The following is a 21,630-nucleotide window of genomic DNA, read 5'->3' as shown; positions in this document are numbered from 1 at the left end:
TGCACTCCAACCTGGATGACAGTGCAAGACTCCGTCTGAAATAAAAAAAAAATTCAAAAAAATGAGATCTGTTAGTGAAACTACACGTGGTTGTGAAAATCTGATGTAACCCAATAAAATTAGCAAGCTTCCCTACTTCAAGAGGAAACTAGAGTAAGAAAATAATGTTTTCTACTACCAACTCTTCAAGATTGAAGCATTCAATTGCAATTGATTTCAGGGCAGAGATGGAAAAACTTGTAAGATTCTATGACTTTCAAAATTATTCACCCAATAAAAATGTTCTGTTTTTCCTAGTCTGCCACGCACTGTATTTTCTCAATGTTATTTTGCTTTAAACCAGTTATCATGTTGACCACCTCTCTGCTACCACTGTAACAGCAGAGATAAAGCAGAAGTTAATTTTGAAGATGAGCATAAACAACTCCAATGTCCTCCTATTCTGTTCAATGCAATCATTATTTTTCAAAAGTAAAAAAAAATACCTTTTTATCACATTTTTCACAATGATATGCATTTGCACCTTCCAATAAATCTCCTTTGATATACTGTTCCAAAGAGTCAAGAAGATTTTGATGATTTCTAATATCCACATTCAAAGTTGTAAAAGATTCTTCACATTCATACCTAAAGATATTATTAATGAAACAAATTAAAAGAATGTATTCTATAGGTTTAGTTTTTTTTTTTTTAATCTTTTAGAGACAGGGTTTTTCTCAGGCTGGCGTGCAGTGGCACAATCAGCTCACTGTAGCCTTGAACTCCTGGGCTTATGCCAGGGATCCCCAGCCAGTACTGATATGTGTCCTATTGGGAACTGGGCTGCACAGCAGCCAGTGAGTGGTAGGCAAGCTGGTGAAGCTTCATCTGTATTTAAACCACTCCCCATGGCTTGCATTACCACCAGAGCTTCATCTCTTGTCAGATCAGGGACAGCATTCGATTCTCAAAAGAGCAAGAACCCTACTATGAACTACACATGTGAGTGATGTAGGTTGTGCACTCCTTGTAAGAATCTAAAGCGTGATAATCTGTTACTGTCTCCCACTGCCTCCAGATGGGACCATATAGCTGCAGGAAAACAAGCTCAGGGCTCCCACTGATTCTACATTATGGTCATTATGGTGAGATGTATAATTATTTCATTATATATTATAATGTAATAATAACAGAAATAAAGGGCACAGTAAATGTAAGACACCTGAATCACCCCAAAACTACCCCCCATCCTCAGTCTGTGAAAAAAATGATCTTCCATAAAACTGGTCCCTTGTGCTGGAAGGTTGGGGACTGCTGCCTTTGGTGATCCTCCCACCTCAGCCTCCCTAGTGGCTAGGCCTACAAGTGGGTACCAACATGCCCAGGCAAGTTTTTTTTGTTTTTTGTTTTGTTTTTTGTAGAGATGGGTTCTTGCTCTTGACTATGCTGTCCTTCAACTCCTGGGGTCAAGTGATCCTTCTGCCTCATCCTCCCCAAATGCTAGGATTACATGTGTGAGCCATCGTGCCCAGCCTGGTTTCTAAATCTTATCCTTCTGGGTGCCGTGGCTCATGCCTGTAATCTCAGCACTTTGGGAGGCCAAAGCAGGCGGATCGCCACAAGTCAGGAGTTCATGACCAGCTTGCCCATCATGGTGAAATCCCATCTCTACTAAAAATATATATATATAAAAATTAGCCAGGTATGGTGGCACATGCCTGTAATCCCAGCTACTTGGGAGGCTGAGGCAGGTGAATCACTTGAACCCAGGAGGCAGAAGTTGCAGTGAGCTGAGATTGCACCACTGCACTCGAGTGTCTGGGAGACAGAACAAGACTCCGTTTCAAAAGTAATAATGAATACATCTTTTCCTTAACTGTGAACTTGATGAAAAACACATATGCAGTATTTAACACATCATGTCAAGTATATTAATCATACAATGTTATTAATAAGTAATATCTTTTATCAGTTGCTTATTTTGTACTGGGCACTGTATTAGATTCCTTACACAGATTATAGCTCATCTTTACCTTGATAAAAGCCCTGTTAGAGGTACATATCCATCCCTACTTTAAAGCTAAGACAATGGGGTTGAGTAGGGAAGTCAAAAAGAATAATTTGATACAGTTTATTAGGTGGAATGATGCTTTGAAAACCAGCTTGTTTGGCCTTACCTCTTAAGTTCTTTATGTTCTATCACACTATGATACATATTATCTGTTTAAACAGTAATTCATGACGAGGTAAAAATAAGAATTAATCAAGCTCTAAAAAAAGCCTATACTAAACCATTAATGAACTTTATTTTTAAGTGTCCCTCAATTTCTGTCATAAACACTTTCCTAATGTGTAAGTTCAAACACTTATCATGCTTAAATGCCTCTGGTGTTCTTGTCTATAAAGTCGTAAACATAAGCAGAGAGCCAGGTGTGGGGTGGCATTTGTCTGTAGTGCCAGCTACTCAAAAGGCTGATGTAGGAGAGGGTCACTTGAGGCCAGGAGTTTGAAGCTGTTGTGTGCTATGATCACACTTTTGAATAATCACTATACTTCAGCCAGGGAAACATAGTGAGACCCTGTCTTAAATAAATAAATAAATAAATAAGTGGAGTAGAGAGTAAATAATGTGGGACTGAGTCAGCATCACAGATTATGGTAATTTTCTACAAACTCAGAAAATGAGATGGGGCAGGCACGTCAACCATCAAATCCATTCATCTAACCAATATTTTCAAAATGTCTAAACAGTATCTCACTCTCTTGCACAGTCTAGAGCATAGTGGTGCGATCTCAGCTCACTGCAACTTCTGCCTCCCGGCTTCAAGCAATTTTACTGCCTCAGCCTCCTGAGTAGCTGGGATTACAGAAGCCTGCCACCATGCCCAGATAAGTTTTTTGTATTTTTAGTAGAAATGGGGTTTTACTATACTGGTCAAGCTGGTCTTGAACTCCTGACATCAAGTGATCTGCCAGTGCTGGTGTCCCAAAGTGCTGGGATTGTAGGTGTGAGCTACCACCACTGGCCAGTTTCTCACAGTTGGAAACTTTTGATTTATTCAGGAAAAACAAGACAGTCACAAAAATGAAATTACATTTATAAATGACTTATGCAAGTTGCTTTTGATCAGGAACCACCCCATAGAGAAGTATAAGGCTATCTTAGAGAATAAAATAATTAAAAGATCCTACAATTAAAAGTGATACTCTGGCAAGGTGTAGTGGCTCATGCCTGTAATCCCAGCACTTTGGGAGGCTGAGGCAGGAGGAAAGCTTGAACCTGGAGTTCGAGTCCAGCCTGGGAAACATGGTGAAACCCTAATTCTACAAGAAATACGAAATTTAGCTGGGTGTTATGGCATGTGACTGCAGTGCTAGCTACTTAGGAAGCTGAGGTGAGAGGACTACTTGAGCTTGGAAGGTTGAGGCTGCAATGAGCTGTGATTGTGTCCTTGCATTCCAACCTGGGTGACAGAGTGAGACTCTATCTCAAAAAACAGAACAAAACAAAACAACCCCCAATGCCTTATAATATAGAAGTCTTGGATGCTAATAACAAGTTTAGTTAGAATAAATATTTTATTTATGCTACTGATATTTTTACTGTTTCCTGTCTTGTCAAATCTTGCTAAGTGGTTTGATGTGCAAGCATATGTAACACTTCTCAAGAATAGTAAGAATTGAGAGTAATTTAAGTCATTTAAATGTTACTTCCTTCGGAGATGTTTCAAAATCCAAGAGATGGCTAAAACCTCAGATAGCATTGAACTCTGTATACTATGTATATTCTGTTTTCTTCCTAAACATACATACTTAAGTGTGATTATGTTTAATTTATAAATGATGCACAGGAATAGATTAGCAGCCGCTTTTAGCCTTTTCTTTGGCGCATCTGAATTACCAGAATATTACTAAGTAAAATAAGAGGTATTTGAACTAAGTTGTGTGATATCTTTGACAATCAATCTGACAACTGAGACAGCAACTAAGTAGATAACAGGCACAGAGACAGTATGGATATGCTGGAAAAAGGGATGATTTACATCCTGAGAAGGACAAAGCAGGAGAGCCCCAAATTTGATCACATTATTTAGAATGGGGCACAGTTTAAAACTTATAAATTGTTTATTTCTGGAGTCTTCCACTTAATTTTTTTTTTTGAAGAGTAGCTGGGATTACAGGCACATGCCACCACACTCAGCTAATTTTTGCATTTTTGTAGAGATGGGGTTTCACCATGTTGGCCAGGATCGTCTCAATCTCCTGACCTCGTGATCCACCTGCTTCGGCCTTCTAAAGTGAACGATGAGGTGGAAACTGAAACCATGAATAATGGGTTACTACTCCAGTCTTGCCAATTATCTTTGGAAGTTCCATCTAAATATTCTGATTGCTAGTTAGAACATAAAAAGAAAATGTCTATTTAAAGAATAAGTGTAGATTTATGGAAAATGCCATTTTAAGACACAGGATAAGACAAAGCAAACAAGAATGAATTGAGGAAGTAATGAAGTACTAACCAAATGTTCCTGGGAAGAAAAAAATCAGAATAGTGTAGTATGCATATGAATTTAATTCATTCATAGTCCTAGGCTTTTGGTACACTCTGCTTTTATATAAGTACTAATGAAAGATTTACACTATTATTAAAAAAAAAACAACACGAAGTATACATTAAAAACATAATTAGCACTTACCTATGTGGGCAGCCTTGGCAGATCTTCTGATCAGCAAAGGAGCCTCCTAGGACTTTACTTAGTATAGCCGGGTGTCCTAAAGCTTTTAAAGCTTCATCTAAACTATCCACCAAAGAATTAAAAAACTCTAAGGCATCATGTTGTTCACGGAGATTAACAGGTTCACCCCAAAGCCTAAGAAGGAAAGGAAACAAAATGAGTTATGTAATACATGCCTAGAATATCCATATTTTATAACAACAAAAATAACAATGACAAACATAAGCTGAGAGTTTAAGCCACATAGAAAGGAGAAACGCACATTGTTTGCAGATGCAACACAATCGAAGTGCTTACAGTAATAATGATACTACAGTGTCAAAAAGTTATAAATGGTGTGACTAAGCTGGATAGTAGGTTTAGAATAATGTTTGCTTCATAAAGCACAGTATATTCAAGCACTTTCAATTCAAGTAAAAAATGACATTTACATGAGAAAGAACCTAATGCTTATGTGGATGCTATAACTACTGCGTTAAAACTTTATTCTGCTTATTTCTGGTGATATAGTGAAAAGATCCTACCACTTAGTTACCATTGTTCATCAAAGCAATTTTTCCAAGTGAAAAGTGAAAGGTTTCCCCGTTCTAGAGTAAACATATTTTCAGTAATCTAAATAGGCATAAAAGGTGAACCAATCCTAAGAAAATACCAATGATAAGTATACAAAATGAGAACTAATGCTGCTGAAAGAGGTTATTCTGGAAGCTATTGAGAACATCTAACAATATTTTCCTAATAATAAGCATCAGAAAATGTCATTTTTAGCAAAAGGTATGGGAATATTTTGAACTTGCTAAGGTGGTACACTGTGTTTTTCTTTGCGGTGAACTTTCACAATTAAAAAAATTGTTATAAATTTAAAAATAAATTTTAAATATTAATACATACAATAAAATTCACATACAATAGAAGCTACTCTGTTGAAGCCATAGGATGTGAGTTTTACAAATGGCAGCCAGCTGTGTAACCACCACAATTGGAGTATCAAACAATCTCTTAAGTACCTTCCTAAATTTCCTAATAGTAGCACTTTGTAAGCCAAATGAATCTCCTGCTATTAATTCCTGGCAACCACTGATCTGTTCTTCATAAATCTGAAGTAGCCTTTTCTAGAATATTACATACAGGAAAGCATATAGATTTAGTGTTTCCATCCTTTTTATTATTGTGGTAGAGTTTACATAATTTACTTTTTATCCTTTTTAAAAAAGACATTAAATTTAATCAGGAAAAATGTAATCGATAATTTAGAAGTATGACAGCAAATTAAAGAGAGAGGAGCACAGAACAAGTAGGATTCTTTATAAAACCAGGAGATTTTAGTTTGTCAGTACAAGTCAACAGGACAATGTAACTAATAAAGGGGTAAAATGCTAATGTGTTAGGCTTCACTAATACATAAAGAGAAATCTGGTACCACATCTGGAGTATTCATTCAACTTTAAGGCCACCCTTTAAGAATACTGATGAACTGGAATGTGGCTTTATTCTTTTGTTTTTAATTAATATTACTGTGGTAAAATAAATACAACACAACATTTACTTTTTAAATCATTTAAGTGTAAAGTTTAGTGGAATTAAGAACATTCATGATGGCTGCTGTACTACCATTACACCATTCCATCTCAGACCTCTCTTCATCTTGCAAAACTGAAATTATACCCATTAAACAACCCCTAAAAACTTCTTATTGACAACCTCTGAAAATCAGCATTCATTTGGTACCTATAAATACAACCTCATGTAAGTGGGATCATACAGAATTTGTGTTTTTGTACTTGGATCATTTCACTTAGCATAAAGTCCTCAAGGCTCATCTATGTTGTAGCATATTACAGAATTTCCTTCAATGGTGAATAACATTTCATAATATGTATATAGATTTATCAATTTATCAGATGATACAAACTAAAAATATTTTTACATTTATCAACTGTGAATGTCACTAACTACCGAGTGTACACTACCTCTTTTGAGACCCTGCTTTCAATTCCTTTGGGTTTATACCCACCAGGGAAATAAGAGAAATTGCTGGAGCATATGGTAATTCTACTTTTATTGATTTATTTTTGAGACAGAGTCTTGCTGTGTCATCAAAGCCAGAGAGCAGTGGTGCAATCTTGGCTCACTGCAACCTCTGTTTCCCAAGTTCAAGTGATTCTCCTGCCCCAGCCTCCTGAATAGCTGAGATTATAGGTGTATGCCACCACGCCCAGCTAATTTTTGCATTTTTAGTAGAGATGGGGTTTCCGGCTGGTCTCGAACTCGACCTCAGGTGATTGTCCGCCTCCACCTCCCAAAGTGCTGAGATTACAAGCATGAGCCACCACACCCGGCTGTACTTCTACTTTTAACTTTTTGAGGAAGCACTATATGTTTTCAACAGTGGCTGTACCATTTTACAATCCCACCCTTAGTACACAAGGGTTTCAATTTTTTCACAGCCTCACCAGCAATTACTATTTTTATAATGGTCATTATAATACATCTAAAATGGTATTTCAATACAGTTTTGTTGTGCATTGCCTTTATGATTAGTAATATTGAACATTTTTATATGTACCTCTTAGCCATTTGTATGTTTCTTGAAAAAACATTTATTCAAATCTTTTGGTCATATTAGTCTGTCTTCACACTGCTGTTAAGTACTGAAACTGGGTAATTTATACAGAAAAGTTTAAGTGACTCGGTTCCACATGGCTGTAAGGAAGCAAGACTGATAGGCCTTAGGAAACTTAATCATGGTGGACAGGGAACCGGAAGCAAGCACATCTTATATGGCAGAGCAATATAAATCTTTCACCACCTTGGTTAAATTAATACCTAAGTATTTTATTTTTTGATGGCTATATAAATGTTTTCATACTTTCTTTTTGGGACTGTTTACTGTTATTGTATAGAAATGCAACTGATATTTGTGAGACTTTGCATTCTGCTACTTTGCCTAATTCAATTATTTACTCCAACAGTTTTCGTAGGAGTATCTTCAGAAATTTATACATGTAACATCACAGCATGTGTAAACAGAGATAATTTTTCTGCTCCTTTTCCAATGTGGATGCCTCTTCTTTTTTCTTGCCTAACTGTGCTGGGTAGGACTGCCAGTATTATATTAAACAGCGGTGGTATAAGTGGGCAGCTTTGCCTTGTTCGTTATCTTAGAGTAAAAGCTTTATATTACAAATATGCTTGCTCAGAGTTTTTTATACATGGCTTTTATTAAGCTGAGGCAGTTTCCTTCTGTTCTGTATTCACTGCATGTTTTTATCATGAAAGGCAGTTCTGTTAAATGTTTCCTCCATCTCAATTGAGATGACAATGTGCTATTTTTTGCTCATTTATTAAAGTGGTGTATTACACTGATTAGTTTCACTTGTTGAATCATGCACATATTCTTAGAATAAACCCCACTTGGTCATGATATAATATTCTTTTAACATGCTGCTAAATTGGGTTTGCTAGTATTTTGTTGTGGAATTTTGCATCCATGTTCATAATGGATTACTGGTCTATAATTTTCTTGCAGCATCTTTGTCAGGCTTCTATATGTTAGATGTAGATTTGAGGCTTTCCTTTAGCACAATGAATGTGAACCTTTAACTCAGCTCAGTGTGTCAATAGCTTAATCCTTTTTCTTTGCCGTGTTGTATTTCACCATATGAATGTACCAGAATTTACTTATCTATTAGCCATTCAAGGGACAAAAGTTGTTCCCAAAATTGCTGGGACACAAGCAATTTAGCACTGCTGATAAAGCTGCTATAAATACCTACAGACAGGCTCTATCTTAGTCCTCAGTTCATTTTGATAAATATCCAGGAGTCAGCCTGCTTAGTTGTACATTAAGTTTATGAATAAGTTTGTAAGAAACTGGCAGTTTCCCAAAGGATCACAACTTTGGAAAATTTTATCAGTAACGGCTGAGTATCATGTACTCCTGATCCAAACCAGCACCAGAAAAAAACAGGGGTGTAGTTGTATCTGTTGTGGTTTTAACATAAAAACCCCTAATGAATAATGATGTTGAACACAGTTTTATACCATTTATCTTCTTTGGTTAAGTTTTCAAATATTTTAAGAATTTTAATTATGTACTTTTTAATATTGAGCTAGGAAAATTCTTTATTTTGTATGTATTTTGCAAATATTTTTCCCATGCTATGCCTTTTCATTTTCCTAATGTCGTCTTTGGAAGAGTATATGGCTTTCCTTTTGATGAAGTCACACGTATCAACATTTATGAATTATCATCTAAATATTGTTTGATAACAATTCAAAGTGACAAAAGGTTTTTCTTCAATATTCTCACATTCTAGGTCTGAGTTTCATTTTGCATTAAATTTGTATAAGGCACAGGTTGAGGTTCACTTTAGGGGAAAGGATATGAATGTCCAGTTGTCCCAAATCACTAAAAGTGAAGACTTTGCATTCTCTCCCCAAGATGGGAAAAATGCGAAGTCTTTTCATTAAATGATCTGGGACATTAGTCATATTAGTATACATTATTTTCCAAAGCTACACATGGTATTAATCTTTGTGCCTATCCTTTTATTAATGCCATGTTTTAATTTTTGTGGCTTTAATGGCAGTCTTGAAATCACGCAGTGGAAGTTCTCCAATTTGGATCATTTCCTTTCCCAAATTGTTTTAGCTTTCCTTGTCCTCTTTCCTTTCATGCTAATAATTGGTAAATTAATATATGTAAATATCCTGATAGAAAACATAGGTTTATAAATCAATTTGGGAAGAACTGACATGTTAGCAATATTTCATCTTTCATTAAAGGGATAGTATGGTATCTGCATGGTCTTGTGGGAAAAAAAAATCGTTGTGAGTTTTTTTCTATCAATTTTTACCTTCTTTGATCTCTGCAGTTTTTTTTCAGTGTTCAGCATTCAGAAGCTGCAATTAGTTTTCAATGTTGTTGGTTTTTTTGTTTGTTTCGGTAAAGAGTGTTCATATACAGTAAACAGAAGCATAAACGATAAATTATAACAACACACATACACACACCCCTTGTAAAATCACCTCAGTCAAGATAATGAATGTATCCAACACTCAAATGATTTTCCTTTTTAACCTCTCCATTTTGCCCCTGCCATCCCATTCTTCCCATCTCAAGCAACCACTTTGTGCTTTCTGCCAATTAGAATATTTCCATTTTCTATAATTTTAATACTAATACAATCACACGATATCCACCATTCCTGTCTTTTTTTTTCCACTCACAATAATGAATTTGCATTCAACATGATAGCTGTAGGCTGTCTGCAGATGCCTTTTATCAGGTTTTCTTTCATTATTAGTTGTGCTGATGTTTATCAGGAAAATCTATTTTGTCAAATGTTTTCTTACATCTACTGAAGTCATCATATAAGTTTCCTTTTTAGTTTGTTTAATGTAAGTATATTAATTGATTTAAACCAACTAAGCTTTCCTAAAATATATTCTCCTTTGTCATCAGGTATTGTCTTTAACATTGTTCACTTCAACTTCCAAAATTATTTTTAGAAACCGTGCATCTAACACCAGAAATGTGGTCTGTAGTTTCAGTATTTTTAAATGTTTGTCATATTTTGCTATCAAGCAAAGTAGTTCTTGAAGAATCTTAATAAAAACTTTTTATTTAGTTTTAGGCCATCATATCTTCTAATGCCTTTTTTTTTTTTTTTGATTTCCTTCTCCTGTTTTGGGGAAATTAATTAGATCATCTAAGGTTGTCCCACAGCTCAGTGATACTCTTTTGTTTTAGAAAATCATTTTACCCTTGTGTTTTATAATGAATACATTTAATAGATCTTTTCTTCTGCAGTGTGTTATCAGCTGTTAATCTCATTTAGCGTCTTTTTCTTTTCTTTTTGAGATGGACTTTCACTCATTGCCCAAGCTGGAGTACAATGGCGTGGTTTCGGCTCATTGCAAACTCCACCTCCTGGCTTCAATCGATTCTCCTGCCTCAGCCTCCCAAGTAGCTGAGATTACAAGCATGCACCACCACACCTGGCTAGTTTTCTATTTTTTGTAGATATGGGTTTAACCATGTTGGCCAGGTTGGTCTCAAACTCCTGACCTCAGGTGATCCACCGGTCTCAGCCGCCCAAAGTGCTGTGATTAGAGGCATGAGCCATGACCGCGCCCAGCCTTAGCGTATTTTTCATCTCTTTTAAGTCTTCATCTGCAGAGCTTTGTTGTAATTTTGCTTATCTCTAACTTTTTGAACATATGAATATACATTACAAAAACTTTTAAAAGTTTTTATCGTTTAACATCTGAGTCAGTTCTAGGTCAGGTCCACCTATTTGTTGATTCTTCACATGGTAGGTCATATGTTCCTGCTTCTTTGCATGCCTGATAATCTTTGACTAGATAGAGATATTTTGAATTTTACCTTATTCAATGCTTGATATTCTGTACTCTTTTAAACTTTCTCTAGCTTGGTTTGAGACGTAGTTTGATTTTCCTGTTCACACTTTAGGTAGCCAAAAACAGTGCATAGTATAGGAATAAGTATTCCTTGGTACCGAACAAGGCTCTTCTAGATACTCTATACCCTGTGAACTAACAGTTTTTCTAATGTGGCTGGGAGGAACAGCTATTTTTCCTGTTCTGTGAGAATTTAGACTGCTCCCTCTAATTCTTTCATGTGTTTCTTTCCTTACCCCAATTTGTTTCCCGATTTACATGTAGTGCTTAGTTCTCTCTTGAATATTCAAGGAGAAATAAAAATTACTAGAATTAATGCAGCTCTCTGATGCACTATTACAAACCTTAGATCCTTTAGTCTCCTTGGATTCTCCACAATGTTTCCTTAAGTCAGGAATTCCATTGGTCTGATTCACTGTCCCACCCTACACTGTAGACTAACTAAGGCTACTGCAGGGCTCTCATTTGTTTCCTATCTCAAGAATAATATTCCTTTTTTGTCTGATGCCTAATGTGTTGAAGCCATAGTTTAATGTACTTTATCTGTATATTTTTAAAAAATTGTTTCACCAAAGGAGGCAAATTAAGTCCAAATTACTTCAAGCTGACAAGAAGTAAAAACACATTGTTTTCATTTTTAGCACTACTCTAAAGTTTCTTTCTCTATCACTTCTTTTTTTTTTTTTTTTTTCCAACTTCATTGGTTTCTAGTACTTCTGAAAAATCTTTGCTTGTTTTGGGTTTAATTTACTATTTTCTCCACTGTATTTTTTTCTTTCCTTTTTTTTTCTTTTTCATTTTTGTTTTTTTTTTAAGATAGGATCTTGCCCTATTGTCCAGGCTGGAGTGCAGTGATATAATCACAGCTCACCACAGCCTCAACTTATTGGGTTCAAGCAATCCTCTTCCCTTAGCTTCCTGAGTAGCTGGGACTACAGGTATGCATCACCATGCCCAGCTAATTTCTGTATTTTTAGGAGAGATGGAGGTTTCACCATGTTAGCCAGGCTAGTGTTCAACTCCTGGGCTCAAGTGATCCGCGCACCTTGGCCTCCCAAAGTGCTGGGATTACAGGCATAAGCCACCATACCTGGCTGCTCCCCTAGTTTTAAGGTACAAAACAGGTTAATAATTCCTATATGAAAATATACCGTTTACTGGCCTGGCATGGTGGCTCATGCCTGTAATCCCAGCGCTTTGGGAGGCCGAGGCTGGTGGATCACCCAGGGTCTGGAGTTCGAGACCAGCCTCACCAACATGGTGAAACCCTGTCTCTACTAAAAACACAAAAAATTAGCTGGGCGTGGTGGCAGACGCCTATAATCCCAGCTACCTGGGAGGCTGATGCAGGAGAATCGCTTGAACCTGGGAAGTGGAGGTTGTGGTGAGTCGAGATCACACCATTGCATTTCAGCCTGGGCAACAAGAGTGAAACTCCATTTCAAATAGAAAAGAAAAGAAAAGAAAAGAAAAGAAAAGAAAAGAAAAGAAAAGAAAAGAAAAGAAAATATACTGTTTACCGTTCAACTATTCCCCACTAATTTTGGTAATCAGTGAATCTTTCTTGCATCAGTTATTACTGTGATGCTCTAATGGTGTTACTCTATTTCCTTCATTTATTTATTCAGTTATTTGCTTCTATCAGTATGAGCATTTATTTTATGCTAAGTATTATAATCTAATACTATTATTATTTATCTTTTTCCTAAAATTGTTTCAATATTAAACACGAGAGCTTTTCAGTTGGCTCCTATGCTGACTTGGTATTATTTCTTTTCTTTTTTGACAATTTCCTTAATGGCTTGCATCTAGGCCAATATGCTCATAGTCGTCTGCTCCTGCCTGGGAACACACCAACTTTCCAGGCAGGTCTGGTTCCTTTTCATCAGAAAATGGTACTTACAAATTAAACTCTAGATACCAACTGCTAGATACCTATGTACAAATTAAGCTCTAGATACCAACTGCCTAGATAACTATGTACAAATTAAGCTCTAGGTACCAACCGTTAGACACCTACATTATTGGGGTCATTATTTTTAGACATTCTCAGTGCACAGAACTTGGAAATATATGTGTATATACCACATCAATGCTCACACACACATATCTCTATTGCTACGCCTATCTGTATGTATGTGTCTAAACTTAAAACATATATACAAGACGCATGGTGGCTCAGCTCAAGCTGTAATCACAGCACTTTAGGGGGCTGATGGGGGCAGATCACTTGATGTCAGGAGTCCGAGACCAACTGGCCAACATGGTGAAACCCCATCTCTACTAAAAATAACAAAAAAAAATTAGCTGGGCATGGTGATGGTTGCCTGCGATCCCAGCTATTTGGGAGGCTGAAGCAGGAGAATCGCTTGAACCTGTGAGGTGGAGGTTGCAGTGAGCCAAGATTGCACCACTGCATTCCAGACCAGGCTACAGAGCAAGACTCTGTCTCAAAACAAACAAACAAACAAACAAACCAACAAAAACACAACCACCAAGAAGCATACATACATATCACACCACGTATGTAGTTTAAAATAAACATGACTACAACTACATACCACTGTTCACTCAAGCCACCTACCTTCCCTTACCTGTAACTTATCTTTACAAAAATTACAATCCTGGCTGTTATTATCTGTGCTAGATTTGTTCACCTCTAATAAACATCTAAAGTAGTTCCAGAATTGGTAACACTTGGAAATAGAATTGCAGAGATTAGTACTTCTGTACAGTTCTTTTTATTTAGCTTTACAGTACCTACTCAATACACTGTCTTCCAGAGTTACTTGGGATGGTTCTTTCAACTTTTCTTGGTTAGTGATTTCCTATTTTCTTTTTCCAAGCTTGGATTTTTTTTTTAAAAAAGTTGAGATAATTGTAGAATCACATGGAGTTTTAAGAAATAACAGAGATGCTGTTTTCTCTGTTTCTGTATTTTAATAAAGATATCTTTTATCCAATTTCCCCAGCAATAGCATCTTGCAAAACTATGTAACACAGTATCACAATTGGGATACTATTATTGGTACAAGCCAAAATCTTAAATTACATTTCTCTAGGTTTTACTTGTACTTATTTCTGTATGTACGTTTAGCTGTCTATGTCTGTGTAATTTTACATAAACACACACAAATATATATGTATGTAAATACATATACAGAATATATGTATAAATTATATACAATTGCTTTATGAATTACATTATCACAGTGTTAATATTTTACCACTTCCATTAAGATACAGAAGCTTCACAGCCAAATAATAAGCATTTACTTTTCTCCATATATAATTGTCAAACATACTAAAACCATGCATAATTACCCCTTAATGTTATTTTTATTTTCAATACTCATAGAAATTTAAACAAACTAGGAAAGAAAAATAAGACTACTACATATACCATTTCCTGCTTGTATTCTTTCTTGCAATTACATGTGTCCCTGTGTTTAACTACCTTTCTGCCAAAACTTTTGACAGAATTTAGAAATTTCTTCACAAGTTTCCTTTCTCATGAGAATAAATGTATATCCCAGTAACTACTAAGAGATATTTTCACTGGATATCAGAATATGACTTTTATTCTTTATCTACTTTTTCTTCTGCTGCCTGTACTTTTGATGTAATCAAACAAATCACTGCCAAATCCAATGTCATAAATTTTCCCTTTAAACTTATAAAATTTTATTTATTATGTTTAGCTTTGATTCATACTGAGTCAATATTTAAATATGGTCTAAGGCAGGATTGTCCAAGGGAGAGAATACACTCATGGGTTCTGAGTTTCTGTTTCTTGATAGGCCAGTAAAGTTCCTTCCTCACCCTCGTTTAATCTTATCACTAGACACAGAAACTAAAAACCCATGGCTTCAGGCTGCTTTTAGCCTAAAAGAAAACAAAACATAACAATGAAATAAGGCAGGTTGGACAAGCTTGTCTAAGACAAGGTTTTAATGATGAAAGACTAAGAGCTTTTCCTCTAAGACCAGGAACAACTCAAAGATATGCACTTTTACCACTTCTATTTGACACAGTAATTCTCCTAGACAATCATTAAAGAAATAAGAAACAAAAAGCATCCAAATTGAAATCCTAACGATTACACACAAGTATACATCACTATGATAAAATAATTCAACAAAGTTTCCAAATCAGCACCTCAAAATCAATATGGGGATATGAGGGAGCTATTATTAATGAATATAAAGTTTCAATTTAAAAGAAGAAAAACTGGCAGGGCACGGTGGCTCAGCCTGTAATCCCAGCACTTTGAGAGGCAGAGCGAGGTAGATCACCTGAAGTTAGGAGTTCTAGACCACCCTGGCCAACATGGTGAAACCCTGTCTCTACTAAAAATACAAAAATTAGCTGGGCGTGGTGGCAGGCACCTGTAATCCCAGCTACTCGGTAGGCTGAGGCAGGAAAATTGCTTGAACCCGGGAGGTGGAGGTTGCAGTGAACTGAGATCACGTTACTGCACTGCAGCACAGCAAGAGAGCGAGACTCCGTCTCCAAACAAACAAACAAACAAACAAAAAAAGATGCAAAACCTTCGGATATAGTGGCGTAAAGGTATATAATGCCAGTCACCTGGACAACTAAAATCTATTAAAAGGGTGAATTTTTATGTTATGCACATTCTGCCACGATAGAAATAGTAAATCACAGGAGGAGCCTGAAAATGAAAAGAAAAAAAAAGATAAGTATGATTTCATCAAAATTTAAAACTCTTGCCTGGGTGCTGTGGCTCACGCCTGTAATCCCAGCACTTTGGGAGGCCAAGGCAGGCGAATCATCTGAGGTCAGGAGTTCAAGACCAGCCTGGCCAATGTGGTAAAACTCCGTCTCTACTAAAAACACAAAAATTAGCTGGGTGGGGTGGCACAGGCCGGTAGTCTTAGCCACTTGGGAGGCTGAGGCAGAAGAATTGCTTGAATCTGGGAGGCAGAGGTTGCAGTGAGCCAAGATTGCACCACTGCAATCCAGCCTGGGTGACAGAGTGATACTGTGAAAAAAAAAAAAAAAGAAAAAACCTCTTAAGCATAAAGTGTACTATAAATATACTGAGAGGATAATCCACAGATGGGAGAAAATATTTCTAAATAATTTATCTTTAAGGGCCTAATATCACAAATACGCAAAAAAGATACAAAGAAGTCTTACAATGCAACAACAAAAGGCAATCAAAAAATGAGAAAAGTACTTCAACAGACATTTCCTCAAAAAAGTACAGAAATTGCTAATAAGTACATGCAAAATGCTCAATAGTACTAACAGTCATTAGGGAAATGCAAATCAAATTCAAAATAAGATACACTTCACATATTTCAAGATGGATATACTAAAAGTAAGGAAACAGCAAGTGTTGACAGATGTAGAGAAACTGTAACCTTCATAATTTGCTGACAGAAAATGTAAATGTCTGGGCCAGGGCCAGTGGCTCACACCTATAATACCAGCACTTTGGGAGGCCAAGGTCGGCAGATCATCCGAGGTCTGGAGTTTGAGACCAGCCTGGCCAATATGGCCAAATCTCATCTCTACTAAAAACCCTGTCTCTACTGAAAATACAAAAATCAGCTGTGGTGGAGTGCTGATGGAGCACTCCTGCAGTCCCAGCTACTCAGGAGCTGAGGCAGGGAGGCTGAGGCAGGACGGTTTCTTGAACCCGGGATGTAAAGGCTGCTGTGAACTGAGATTGCACCACTGTACTCCAGCCTGGGTAACAGAGTGAGACTACTTCTCAAGGAAAAAAAAAAAAAAAAGAAAATGTAAAATTCTACAGGGGCTTTGGAAACCAATTTGGTGGCTCCACAAAAAATTAGACATAGAATTACCACATGACCCAGTAACCGCATTTCTAGGTCTACTCCAAAAAGAAATGAAACATGGATCCACACACAAACTTGTTCATGAATTTTCACAGAGGCACTATTCACAATAGCTCAAAGACGGAAACCATCCAAAGTTAATCAATGGATAAATAAAACATGGTCTAGTCATACAATGAAATATAATTCAGCCATAAAATGAACAAAGTGCCGATACATGTTACAAAATGGACATACCTTAAACACACCATATTTAACATTAGAAGCTAGACAGAAAGGCCATATATGCTGTGATTAAATTACAAGAAATATCAAAAATATGCAAACCTATATAGAGAGAAAAGTAATTTTTTGTTGTCGGGGTAGGAAGAAGAGAAAAGTGGGCTGAATGATTCTTTAATGAGCAGGGAACCTCTTTTTTTGGTGAGGAAAATGTCCTGGAACCAAATGGTAGTGATATTTTCACAAAAATTCTGAATGTACCAAAAAGCACTGAATTGTACACTATTAAATGGTTAAAATGTTGAATTTTATGAGAACTTTACCACAAAAGAAAAAAATGTAATAGGAACATATGTGTCTACAGTTTGTGTAACACAAATGTTTTAGGACAAATTGTGAGCTCCACACTTATTTGGAGAGAATCACTGAGAGGACAAAAACATACATATTTAAGTACAAACACATTATAGCTTAATACATTTAAATACAGATTATAAAGAAGCAAAACGATATATATCTATATATGTGTGTATGAAATTCCTCTATAATGTATATAATTATGTAACTGTGTATTCAGTTATCACACATATATTATTAAGTGAAAGATTTGAAGACAAATCTAAAAGTGTTATAGTAAATTGGAAGAACAGGAACAGAATTGTTGACTAGATTGCAGAAAAAAGTCGAGGTAAAGAAAGCATACGCTAGGGAAAGAAAAAAACAGTTGAAACAGGTAAAAAGGGGAGCAAGGCACGTGTGAAGTTACATAACTGAAAGAGGAAAAGAAGAATTATATATGCATATCGTACTTATAATCTAGGCTTACAGCTCAGCTACAGAATACAGAAATTTATACTGAGAGATATAATGGGGAGTCAGTGTACTGTAAGTTTGTGACTTTCAAAAGGAATCAAAGTGATATGCTAATACATATAAGGGTGGCTGCCATAAGTGCAACAGAAAAAGCAGCTCAGAAATCAGAAGAGCCCTTTCCTTTCCTATCTCTGAGCTATCAAGGAAGTATCTTGTTGAAAGAACTCTAAATTCTTATGAGGGGCAGCAGCATTTTTCTACACATTAGGAAGAGCATGTATTACAGTATATAGTAAAAAGTTGTGCTACAGTGTTTAGTAGCATGTATAACACAAAGTAGGCCTTGATAAAATAGGTGAAACAAACAAACAAAAAAGACAAGTTCAAGATGTAACTGAGCTCTTTCTTTGTTTTTTTTTTTGAGATAGGGTCTCCCTCTGTTGCTGAGGCTGGAGGCCAGTGGCTCCATTACGGTTGAGGTGATCCTCCTGCCTCAGCGTCCCAGGTAGCTGGGACTACTGGCACAGGCCACCACGCCCAGCTAAGTTTTTGCATTTTTAGTAGAGATGGGGTATTGCCATGTTGCCCAGGGTGGTCTTGAACTCATGGGCTCAAGTGATCTGTTTGCCTTGGCCTCCCAAAGTGATGGGGCTACTAGTGTGAGCCACTGCAGCTGGCCTAATTGAGGTTTTCCAAACCTAAAAAGAGGCCAAATTTTATTGGTCACTTTTGGAGGATGTTAGGGAATCATCACTTTACAAATTTGTAAAGAAAAATATACCTATATATATAAAAATATAAAGTTATAATTATATATAATATATACAGTATATAAAGATATATAATAATACACATATATTTTTTGTTGCCAGACTAGGAAGGGGGACTTCCTTTCTAGTGGTGAAAATGTTCATTTCTTTATGAGTAATGCTGGTCTTCAAGGTGATTATGATACATCACCTCAGGGATCAACACTGCTCCAGAGACCAAAAGATATCATTAATGCACTAATCTAACTTATAATGAAAGAAGTTGAAAGAAACTAAGAACAAAAGTTAGTGAATGAAATGATATTCCACTCACTAAAGGAGCTGAGACTACAGGTTCATATTACCATGCTTAATTTTTGCATTTTTTTGTAGAGACAAAGTTTTGCCATGTTTCCCAAGATTATAAAGTAATTTTTATTATATGTGATAATGTACCATGATCATCTTCTTAAAGAAAAATGTTAGGGATATATAAAAAAATCTATATAGATAAAACAATATATTTGACATTTGCTTCAGCAGAGAGCTGTTTAAGCAAGGGGATGACTGTTTTAGTATTTTGCTTTTATATCATTTTTTATTAAGATTGAGTTTCCTCTTGTTGCTCAGGCTGGAGTGCAATGGCACAATCTTGGCTCACTGCAACCTCTACCTCCTGGGTTCAAGCGATTCTCCTGCCTCAGCCTTCCGAGTAGCTGAGATTACAGGCATGCGCCACCACACCCGGCAAATTTTGTAGTTTTGGTAGAGATGGGGTTTCTCCATGTTGGTCAGGCTGGTCTTGAACTCCTGACCTCAGGTGATCCGCCAGCCTTGGCCTCCAAAAGGGCTGGGATTACAGGCGTGAGCCACCGTGCCTGGCTGCTTTTATATAATTGATGTCTTCCAAAATGAAGAAGTAAATTACATCTTAAGAGATTAAAGAACACAGTGCCTTTCTTTACTGTGACAAATTTTACTTCTTTCTATTGGGATAATAAAACATTCTATTGGGAAAATAAAACAAAACTATGACCAAGAAGGATAATTAGAATATTAGTACAGTTTAAATATTAAATATAAAACTAATTATGTATTCTAAGCTACATTTTAGAAGTTTACTGTATTGAGGTTTTTATGAAACTTAAATGATCACCCACCCATAATTTACCTGAACTGTTTCCAAAATCCTCTGGGTACATAGTATTGTAGTTGGGAAGCAGCTAAATGACCAAAGATGACCTGAAGGTGTCTTAGGACACCAATATTATACTCTTTCCTATCTTCTGTCTTACTTAATGCTGGCTTGTCTTCAAATTGATGAGGATATCCAAATACATCATCTCGGGGATCAACATTACTCTAGAGACCAAAAGACATTATTGATGAGCTAATCTAACTTTAACAGTATAACGAAAGAAGCTGAAACAAATACCAGAAGTTAGTAAATGAAATGTTATGCACTTTTTTATATTTCTTACTTCCAAAGCACTTAATTTTTAATATTAGTGCTCATTTCACAGATGGGTTATGATAAAAGATTTCACAGATAAGTTATCATAAAAGAATAGTTAAAAAAATACATTAGAGGTAGTGTAATATAGTAAAGTTTGGTCAAGTATACAGCAGTAAAGACAAATGAGTGCTCTGCCGTAAGTAACTTCAGGGGAATAAGTTACTTGGTCTTCCTAGGACTCAGTATTTTCTTGTGAGCATAATGCATTTTCCAGATTCATGAAGTAATTTACATAATGTTATCACAATTATTAACAATAAATAAAGTTATTAAGAGTAGCTGTGGAAGGTACGGGAGCATATACAGAAGCTCCATAGGTCATAATCTCATTGTAGCTACAGAGCAAAATACAGCTACTTTACAAATATCTAACATGTTTCTATATGCTTTGCTCTGTATCTGGTATTTGTGATACAGAAATAAATAATACCCAGTTCCTGCCCTGGAGAAGCTCATTGCATAGAAAAAGTAGGCAGACACATGCATGCCATAGTACAGTGCTGAGACAACATAAAGCACAAGCAACCAAGCACAAAGGTGGGTGACCTAATCTGAAAGTTTATGTTCTGTTGGCCTCACTTACTTCTTGTCAGTATGATTTGCCATCCCTATCTGTTTTAAATTCAACACCCTATGGGTAACATGGGCTATAAAAGTAGGACTTAATTTCCAATTTCCTTTCAGTAGTGGCTCTTAACCTGGTATTGGTCAACAACCCACATGGAGATTCTACTGTAAGTATAGTTACCCAGATAGGAATGCCTGGATGGTGTGATTTATTAGATCTTGAAAGGCGGCAGCAAGTGTTTGTAATCTCCATAAATGATACACTACAATCTGAAACTCAAACTATTTCTGATCACTGAAGGGAAGATATGTAGAAATTGGAGAACCATTTCCTGCAGTTACAATTTTTGTTTCTGCATTTAGTTCCTATCAACATATATGCAAAAAAGTAAAAGATAAACAGTCTAAGTATAAACATGACCGAAATTTTTTTTTCTTTTCAGATGGAGTCTCACTCTGTCACCCAGGCTGCAGTACAGTGGCACAATCTCAGCTCACTGCAACTTCTGCCTCCTGAGTTCAAGTGATTCTCTGGCCTCAGCCTCCTGAGTAGCTGGGATTACAGGCATGTGCCACCACGCCTGGCTAATTTTTGTGTTTTTAGTAAAATCGGGGTTTCGCTATGTTGGTCAGGGTGGTCTCAAACTCCCCACCTCAGGTGATCTGCCCGCCTTGACCTCCCAAAGTGCTGGGATTATAGGCGTGAGCCACATGCCCAGCCAAAATATGACCAAAACTTCAAATTTTCCATATACATGTATTTAAGACCTGCATCTTAAATATGTGATCTG

At 36.4% G+C, this 21,630-nt stretch overlaps 1 protein-coding gene across 3 annotated transcripts in view; it reads right to left on the bottom strand.

The window, feature by feature from the left end:
• The window catches only part of USP9Y (ubiquitin specific peptidase 9 Y-linked), a 159,609-nt gene that overhangs the window by 22,302 nt on the left and 115,677 nt on the right, over positions 1-21,630 (bottom strand). For all 3 annotated transcript variants that reach the window (NM_004654.4, XM_047442772.1, XM_047442771.1), the window contains 3 exons: positions 19,928-20,118; positions 4,677-4,850; positions 486-627 (listed from right to left, as the gene is read on the bottom strand). In NM_004654.4, the coding sequence (NP_004645.2) occupies positions 486-627; positions 4,677-4,850; positions 19,928-20,118 (507 nt within the window). The remainder of the gene's footprint in view (positions 1-485; positions 628-4,676; positions 4,851-19,927; positions 20,119-21,630) is intronic.

Source organism: Homo sapiens, chromosome Y, assembly GCF_000001405.40.
Source record: "Homo sapiens chromosome Y, GRCh38.p14 Primary Assembly".
NCBI classification, from domain to species: Eukaryota; Metazoa; Chordata; class Mammalia; order Primates; family Hominidae; genus Homo; species Homo sapiens.
The sequence above is the reverse complement of the archived record's forward strand: the minus strand, read 5'-3'. Positions and strand labels throughout refer to the sequence as shown.